The sequence below is a fragment of the Homo sapiens genome, chromosome X, assembly GCF_000001405.40.
Source record: "Homo sapiens chromosome X, GRCh38.p14 Primary Assembly".
NCBI classification, from domain to species: Eukaryota; Metazoa; Chordata; class Mammalia; order Primates; family Hominidae; genus Homo; species Homo sapiens.
Window position 1 is genome coordinate 116,009,209 of NC_000023.11, and position 9,910 is coordinate 116,019,118.

The 9,910-nt window shown below is 41.5% G+C and overlaps 1 annotated feature.

Annotated features, from left to right (window-relative positions):
• Positions 1,027–1,116: an enhancer, noted in NCBI's record as "active region_29867". NCBI's record gives its function as "activates an Ori minimal core promoter by ATAC-STARR-seq in GM12878 lymphoblastoid cells {active_cell/tissue: GM12878}" and the evidence as "EXISTENCE:reporter gene assay evidence [ECO:0000049][PMID:35858748]".

Sequence of the window (9,910 nt, forward strand, 5' to 3'; positions counted from 1 at the left end):
CAGTTGTATTTGGCACACAAGGTGAAACCTTATTTGCCATAATGTTTCTATAATTTTCAAGAAAGTTTCTGAATCTTTGAACTTTCGTTGGTCTTTGAAAAAGAACAGGCATGCTGTAATGTTTCAATTCAGTTTTGCCCTCGCAGGATTTTCAGGTGGGCTTTCTTGTTGAATGTGTGCTTTGTATGTTTTCAGAAACCTCTTCACACCAGTAACTGTGTCTTAAAAATTTCCAGTAATGTGCTCAGAGGTCCTGAGTGGGAACTAGTTTAATGTTGAAGGTGAACAAACAAAACCTTTCATCTGTTCCCAGGTATGTCTGGCTTCTGGCAGCTTTGCCATTAATAGTTGAGAGCCTGTTTGCTGCCTGGAACACTGAAGGGTTGTTAAACAGCTCTCTGCCTTTTAAAAAGAGTGGGAGATGATTGGGAGGCTTCTAGACTGAGGCAAAAATTGAAAATATCATGCATGTTTAGCTATATGGTTTATTAACTCATTTGCTGAAGTGTGTACTTGATTTCTGTTAAATCTTTTTATGCTTAGGCATTTTTGCTATTGAGAGACTTTTCTTTTGGGTATTTAAATACTCAAATAACTCATTCATATTCAAATACCTCCTTTAACACATTTCTCATTTCCTTTAGAAGCAAAACATACTCTCTTTGCAGGAACTGTTTTCAGCCCCGCCCCGACCTCTCAAAACTCTGCACTTAGCCAGCTGTTTCCATGGCCAATGCTGTAAGCCCCCAGGCCCGATTCACGTGGCAGGAGGGGAAGAACAGCTGAAGCTGGAGCAGCGAGCTGCCTTAGCTGCCAAAGTCCACTTGATTCTGACGCAATGCAACTGCATTCTCCGTTTTTAATTTGTTCCTGTTCTGCTTTTGGTTTTCAGTCTCTACCACTATCCCCTCACTCTCCAGCGTCTACCCACCCTTTCCTCTTTTAGGTTTCTGAAAAACAGACCATTTGGTTGACCCTGCAAGGCTTCCAATTTGCCTATTTTGTCATGATGCCCTGTTTCTCCCCATCATGCTCACACTTGCTTCTAAAATGCCTCTGGCTCTTCTGGTGAGCTGCTGTCTACCTATTCCTGTCTCTGGCTCTGGGTCCTGTTGTCTGTCTCCAGCTGCCTGCCTAACACAAACTGCCTTACTGCCTGTGGTGTGTCATGGATCTGCTGATTTTCTGTGGCACCTGAAACAATAGAAGCTGAAAAATCCATGACTTCTGTTTAACTGTGCTTCTTCACAGTTTTCCTTATTAGACATTATGTGGTCAAAACTCTGAAACTAAACTCTTTAACTGAAGTACAGGTGTCAGCCCTCTGAGCTGAAGCTCAGCCATTATAACTTCTGTGACCTGCACATACACATCCAGGTGGCCTGCAGGGGCCAAGAAGTCTGGAGCAGCCAAAAAACCACAAAGAAGTAAATCAGTCAGTTCCTGCCTTAACTGATTAACCAAAATTACATTTTACCATTGTGACTTGTCCCTGCCCTACCTTAGCTGATCAATCAACTTTGCAACATTCTTCTTTTGGACAATGAGTCTTATGATCTCCCCACCATGTACCTTGTGACCCCCTCCTCTGCTAACAATAGATAACCACCTTTTACTGTAATTTTCCATTACCTACCCAACTCCTGTAAAGCAACCCCTTCCCCATCTCCCTTCACTGACTCTCTTTTCGGACTCAGCCCACTTGCACCCAAGTGAATAAACAGTGTTATTGCCCACACAAAGCCTGTCTGTTGGTCTCTTCACATAGATGTGCTTGACATTTGGTGCCATGACTCAGATCGGGGGACCTCCCTTGGGAGATCAATCCCCTGTCCTCCTGCTACATTTGGTGCCGTGACTTGGATCAGGGGACCTCCCTCGGGAGATCAATCCCCTGTCTTCCTGCTCTTTGCTCTGTGAGAAAATCCACCTATGACGTCAGGTTCTCAGACCAGCCCAAGAAACACCTCACCAATTTTAAATTGGGTAAGCAGTCTTTTTTTATTCTGTTCTCCAACCTCTCTCACTATCTCTCAACCTCTTTCTTCTTTCAATTTCAGCACCACCCTTCAATCCCTCCATTCCTTTCATTTCCTTTTCCTTTCTGGTAGAGATAGCAGAAACGTGTTTTTTCCATGGATCCAAAATGCTGGTGGCACTGGTCATGGACTCAGGAAGACAGTCTTCCCTTGGTGTCTAATCACCGCGGGGACACCTGCCTGATTATTCACCCGCATTCCAGAGGTGTTCGATCACCATGGGGACACCTGCCTTGATCCTCCACCTTGGTGGCAAGTACTACCCCCCCCTTTTTACTCCTCTTTTCTCTAAATTTCCCTTTTTTTTACTATGGGCAACCTTCTGCCCTCCATTCCTCCTTCTTCCCCCTTAACCTGTGTTCTTAAAAACTTAAAACCTCTTCAACCCTCACCTGACCTAAAACCTAGCATCTTATTTTCTTCTGCAACACCGCTTGGCTCCAATACAAACTTGATAATGGCTGTAAATGGCCAGAAAATGGCACTGTTGATTTTTCCATCCTACAATATCTAGATAATTTTTTTCATAAAATGGGCAAATGGTCTGAGGTGCCCTATGTCCAGGCATGTTTTACACTTTGTCCCCTCCCTAATTTCTGTTCCCAATGCAACTCATCCCAAATCTTCCTTCTTTCCCTCCTGCCTGTCCCTTCAGTCCCAACCCCAAGTGCCACTGAGTCTTTTGAATTCTCCTTTTTTTGCGGACCCCCCTGACCTCTCTCCCCTTCCTCAGGCCACTCCTTGGCAGGCTGAATCAAGTCCCAATTCTTCCTCAGCCTCCACTTCTCCACCTTATAACCCTTCTGTCACCTCCCCTCCCCACACCCAGTCTGGCTTACAATTTCATTCTGTGGCAAATACTCCCCCGCCTGCCCCAAAATTTCCTCTTTGAGAGGTGGCTGGGGCTGAAGGCATTGTCAGAGTGCGTGTACCATTTTCTCTATCAGACCTTTCCCAAGTTAATCAATGCTTAGGCTCCTTCTCATCAGACACCACAAAATATATACAGGAATTCCAATATTTAACTCAGTCCTACAATTTAACCTGGAGTGACTTAAATGTGATACTAACTTCTACCCTCTCCCCAGATGAATGAGAAAGAGTTTTTTCTCTAGCCCAGTCCCACGCTGACACCTGCCGACATCATGAGCCGGACCTTCAAGAAGGCATCAGGGCAGTTCCCCAAGAGGATCCCCGATGGGAGTATCAGGCAGGTTCCCCAGGTATAGCTAGATGAGATTACATGATTTCCTGCCTAGTTGAAGGGCTTAAAAGGGCAGCATACAAAGCTGTTAATTATGACAAAATTAAAGAAACTACCCAAGGTAAAGATGAAAACCCAGCCCAGTTCATGGCTCGTTTGGCAGCAACCTTGAGATGCTTTACAGCCTTAGACCCTGAAGGGCCTGAAGGCCATCTTATTCTCGATATGCATTTTATCACCCAGTCAGCTTCTGACATTAGAAAAAAGCTTCAAAAATTGGAATCCACCCCACAACAGGAATTAACCAGCCTCGCCTTCAAGGCGTACAGTAATAGAGACGAAGCAGCCAAGTGGCAACACATTTCTGAGTTACAATTACTTGCCTCTGCTGTGAGACACAACCCAGCTGCACCTCCAGCACACAAGAACTTCAAAACACCTAAGCCACAGTGGTCAGGCATTCCTATAGGACCTCATCCCTCAGGATCTTGCTGTAAGTGCCAGAAATCTGGCCACTGGGCCAAGGAATGCTCGCAGCCTGGGATTCCTCCCAAGCCATGTCCCATCTGTGCAGGGACCCACTGGAAATCAGACTGCCCAGATCACCCGGCAACCACTCCCAGAACCCCTAAAGCTCTGGCCCAAGGATCTCTGACTGACTCCTTCCCAGATCTGCTTGGCTTAGTGACTGAAGACTGACACTGCCCAATTGCCTTGGAAAACCCCTGGACCGTCACAGATGCTGAGCTTCGGGTAACTCTCACAGTGGAGGGTAAGTCCATCCCCTTTTTAATAGATACAGGGGCTACCCACTCCACATTACCTTCTTTTCAAGGCCTGTTTCCATTGCCCCCATAACTGTTGTGGATATTGATGACCAGGCCTCAAAACCTCTTATAACTCCCCAACTTTGGTGCCAACTTGGACAAAATTCTTTTATGCACTCCTTTTTAGTTATCCCCATGTGCCCAGTTTCCATTTAGGTTGAGACATTTTAACCAAATTATCTGCTTCCCTGACTATTCCTGGACTACAGCCACATCTCATTACTGCCCTTCTTCCTAATCCAAAGTCTCCTTCATGTCTTCCTCTTGTATCCCCCATCTTAACCCACAGGTACGGGACAGCTCTACTCCCTCCCTGACAACTGATCACACGCCCATTACTATCCCATTATAACCTAATCATGCTTACCCTGCTCAATGCCAATATCCCATCCCACAGCAGGCTTTAAACGAACTGATGCCTGTTATCACTCACCTGCTACAACATGGCTTTTAAAGCCTATACATTCTCCTTACAACTCTCCTATCCTACCCATCCAGAAACTGGACAAGTCCTACAGGCTAATTCAAGACCTTCACCTCATAAATCAGATAGTCCTTCCCATCCATCCTGTTGTGCATTTTTATTAAGTCTCTTCTTCCTTACTCTACTCTTTACAACTGCTTTATGCAGTCAACCCCTCCTTCTTGCACTGCACCTCACAAACTTTTTCATCCCTGCTATTTTCCTATTCACCATTCTCACCTACTCATAAATGCCCTGCTTTTGTTTACATTGCCAGTTTACACTTTTTCTCCAAACCATCACAGCTTATATCTCCTGGTGCTATCCCCAAACCACCACTCTTGACTCCCTCTTGTAATGGATAGGTGATTTTTGCTGGCAGGGCACACTCCAATACTTTCACCATGATGAAGTCCTATTCTTTACCTTTATACTTACTTTTAACCTCATTCCCGTTCTTATGCTGCCCTCTGCCCTTGAATATTCTTTAAGGTGTCTGTGCAGTCCCTGGTCACACTTGAAGCAGTCCCAAGAAACATCGCCCCTACCCCAATAACCCTCAGTAAAAAGTTATATTTTCTTTATCTTTTCTTATAGCTTTATATTTTATAAATAAAAAGACAGGAATGTCAGGCCTCTGAGCTGAAACTCAGCCATTATAACTTCTGTGACCTGCACATACACATCCAGGTGGCCTGCAGGAGCCAAGAAGTCTGGAGCAGCCAAAAAATCACAAAGATGTAAAACAACCAGTTCCTGCCTTAACTGATTAACCAAAATTACAACATTTTACCATTGTGACTTGTCCCTGCCCTACCTTAGCTGATCAATCAACTTTGCAACATTCTTCTTTTGGACAATGAGTCTTATGATCTCCCCACCATGTACCTTGTGACCCCCCCTCTGCTAACAATAGATAACCACCTTTTACTGTAATTTTCCATTACCTACCCAACTCCTATAAAGCAAACCCTTCCCCATCTCCCTTCACTGACTCTCTTTTCAGACTGAGCCCACTTGCACCCAAGTGAATAAACAGTCTTATTGCTCACACAAAGCCTGTTTGTTGGTCTCTTCACATGGACGCGCTTGACATAGGTTGCTGGGTACATAGCACTGAGCAACCGGTACTTTAGTTAAATGTCAGAGTCAGGGTTAAGATCAATAAAAGTTACAATACAGTAACACTTGCCTAGACACAGTGGGAAATCTTGTTTATGATGATTTCCAGATGAGAAGCCATTTTCTAGGTTGGAAGTAGGATGCATGTATGTATGTATGTGTGTTGCCATACATAATATCTTGCATTCTAGACTTCTGAATTGGGATTTTATGATTAAAAAAAATTGACCTTTAGGCTGGGCGCAGTGGCTCATGCCTGTAGTCTCAGCATTTTAGGAGTCTGAGGCAGGCAGATCACCTGAGGTCAGGAGTTTGAGACCAGCCTGGCCAACATGGTAAAACCCTGTTTCTACTAAAAATACAAAAATTAGCAGGGCATGGTGGCTCACACCTGTAATCCCAGCTACTTGGGAGGCTGAGGTGGGAGAATTGCTTGAACCTGGGAGGTGGAGTTTGCAGTGAGCTGAGATTGCACCACTACCCTCCAGGCTGGATGGCAGAGGGAGACTCTGTCTCAAAAAAAAAAAAATCTTTAAGGAATAATGACTACTTAACAAATTGAATAAATATGCTTCTTAATTTTAATCTGCCATATTTTTGTTTCCTGAAGTGACACATATTATTGTCTATTAGCCTAAGAATTAAAATATTACCACCCTCATTAGATCACCTTGGTTAATTTGATTTTTGTCTTCCTTGAAGTTGAATTCATTCTCATTTGATCTGATCTTTAGAATATGTTCACACTATGACAAGTATTATAGATATCTTGAAATGTGAAAATAATTTACCATTTACATTTCTATTATACATCTGGGAAATTAGTACAGTAATAATAATATAATAATAGTTGTCAATATGATTGAGTTTTTGCTATATGCTGGATATTGCACTAAGGGCTTTATTTGTATTATCTAATTCTGTCAACTGCCATTTAATGGGTTCTAATGTTACCCACATTTTACAGTGGGGAAAACTAAAATGCACAGAAATTTGGTAATGTGTTCAAGGTCATAAAGCTAAATTAGTGCCATAGCTGAAATTTGAGCCCAGATTTGTAGGTATCCCAAAGTCTGAGCCTCTGAACATCAATGAGCACCATTTCTCATAGCAATAATTTATGTTTGAAGTCTCTTCTTTGCTTCTACACTTCCCTTGAAATTTAAATACCTCTTTTACAATGTCATATAGTCATATTTAGATATACTATCTCTTCTTACTAAAATAATACATTCATGCAAATGTATTATTTATTAGAGGAGGTTGCATTAGAGGTTTAAATAGTAAGACATGGAACCAAAATGCCTGGGATGATATTTTAATTCTGCCACTTATTTTCTGTGACTTTCAAAAATTACTTTATCTCTCTGTATTAGTCAATTTTGGATTCCTATAAAGGAATAGTAGAGACTGGGTAATATATAAAGAAAAGAGGTTTATTTGGCTAATGGTTCTGCAGGCTGTACAAGTAGCATGGTGCCAGCATCTGCTTCTGGTGAAGCCTCAGGAAGCTTACAATCATGGTGAAAGGTAAAGTGGAAGCAGACATGTCACATGGCAAGAGAGGGAATGAGAGAGTGAGGAAGGAGGTCCCAGACACTTTTAAACAGTCAGATTACACATGAACTCATAACCATGGGGAGGGTACAAAGCCATTCATGAGGGATCTGTCCCATGATCCAAACATCTCCTACTACGCCCCGCCTGCAACATTGGGGATCACATTTCAACATGAAGTTTGGAGGGGACACACATCCAAACCACATCACTCTCTGAACTTCAGTTTCTTAATTATATAACTAGTGCTAGAATTTAGTTCATTTGAAATTTGTGAGGATTAAGTGAGATAACACATATAAATTACTTGCAATAATGCCTTCATATAGTATGTGCTGAAAAATAGCTTGACATATAATTTGTAGATACCCTAAAAGTTCTGTTATAGCTTGATTGTTTCTTTTGTTTCCATTCATTTATCTATCTATCTATATATACATGTATTCATTCATCCATGTGTTCACTAATTCATTTTCCAAACCTATATTGAGCACTGAGCAAGGATTTCCCATCTATGGTGTTAAACTCTGTAAAATCTTCTAGAGTCCACTTCTTTTAGTGGAATTCTTGCTTAGAGCAAGATTTTGAACAAGAAAGATTTTGATTAATTTCTGGGAGATTAGGATATTGTGCAGGTCAAACGGCAACATAGGACATTGAAACTACAAAAGTATTTGTAGAAGACAATATTTCACTTGCCACCTTTCTAGATACTGGCAAAGTTGTAGACACTTCAGAGATCTAATTTTATGAATAACACTAAAAATGCTATATAGGAGGTAAACAATCAACTCAAGTGCTATCATTCTTAAATTGTAGCTTCTTTATGATCTGATAATATTGGAAGAAGATGACCTTCTAATGGGATGGTAAATGTTCTTATGAATAATTGGTATGTATATACAAGTGAGGGGCCTTGACCATGGAATTAGCCCTCTGAAGTAGGCCTACTTTTCAAACATGTGGGCTCTGGCAAGAGACTAATGTTGTGGTCATGCATGGATTTAGATAAACTCTTCTGCATTTACATATAATAATATATTACCAAGATCCCAGGAACGCTGGCCCAGAGGTGGCAAAATGTTGGAGTCTGGGAGATATTATTTGTGCTAGTAGCAGATTTCTGATGTAAAGCAGAGAGTGTGGTTTTTTTTAGGATAAAATTGTGAGCCTCTGGCCAAGTGATGCTAAGAATGAAGATGAAATAAAAGCAATTTGCAACAAATAGCTTTAGCTTCTTTAAAGTACTACCAAGGAGGGTTCTCTTGTGGTGTTCTCATGAGACTGGTTTTCACTGACATTGCTGTCAGTGTCTAACACTCACAGTTGGATGGGTTCAGGTGTGCTGTATTAGGGCTTGTTACACAAAGTTGCCAGATACCTCTATGACTATTATTATTTCAATTTGAAGAAACTCTACTAGAGTATTATATTAGTCTGTCTGGGCTACTGTAACAGAATGTCATAGACAAGATGGCTTATAAACAACAGAAATTTATCTCTCACAGTTCTGGAGTCTGGGAAGTTCAAGATCAAGGCATTGGAGATTTGGTGTTTGGTGATGGCCCACTTCCTGGTTCATAGATGGCACCTTCTACCTGCATCCTCAAATAGCAGAGGGGCAAAAGACCTCTTTGTTGTCTCTTTTATATGGGTACTAATCCTATCAGTCACTTCCCAAAGGCCTCACTTCTTAATACCATCACACTGGGGGTTAAGATTTCAACATAAAAACTTGGAGAAGGGCACAAACATTCATTCTATAGCAGACATATAATATGATCACCTACTGTCAAAAATTACTTTGCACTAGTAGAAGGTGACATTGCTTAGGAATAAGCCCAAATTCACTGTTGCACATACTGCAACCTCTGCCGGTCATTCTCTTCTTCACTCATTTTTTGGCCAACTCCTACTGATCTTTCTTTCTTTCTTTTTTTTTTTTTTGAGACAGGGTCTTATTTGGTCATCCAGCCTGGAGTGGCACTGTCATGGCCCACTGCAGCATTGAAATCCCTAGGCTTAGGTGATTTCCCACCACAGCCTCCCAAGTAGCTGGGACTACAGGTACGCCCCACCATGCCCAGCTAATTTTTGTATTTTTTGTAGAAACAGAGTTTCACCATGTTTCCCAGGCTGGTCTTAAACTCCTGAGCCCAAGTGATCCAGCCGCTTTGGCCTCCCAAAGTGCTAGGATTACAGGCATAAGTGACCGCACTCAGCCGTGATCTTTCAAATCTTGGCTGAAGCATTTATTTTTCAGAGAAGTCATTCCTGATTCCTCAATCAAACTTATGCCTCTCATTACTGTTTTTATAATCCTGTTCCTTTTCTTTATAGAATGGATTAAATTTTGTAGTCATATATTTGTTCATTTAATTATGTGACTCATCTATTAGATTTTAATTTATAAAACAGTAGATTTTGTTCATCAATGTTTTACTAATCAGTGTATGTCCAATGTCTTACACAGTCTCTACTATATAGAAGGACTTCAATTTATATTGGTTGATTACTGATTGAGAAACATGCTTTTACATACTAACGGGAAATTGCCAAGAACATAAATAAGTAAAATGTTGAAGCTATGAGAGAAGACTGTATAGGGTAGGGTATCAAGGTCAAGAGTGGTCCCTTCTACCCTGGAGGTTAGAAATGGTTTATCAGGTGAAGTAATGCTTGAGCTGATTCTAGAAAA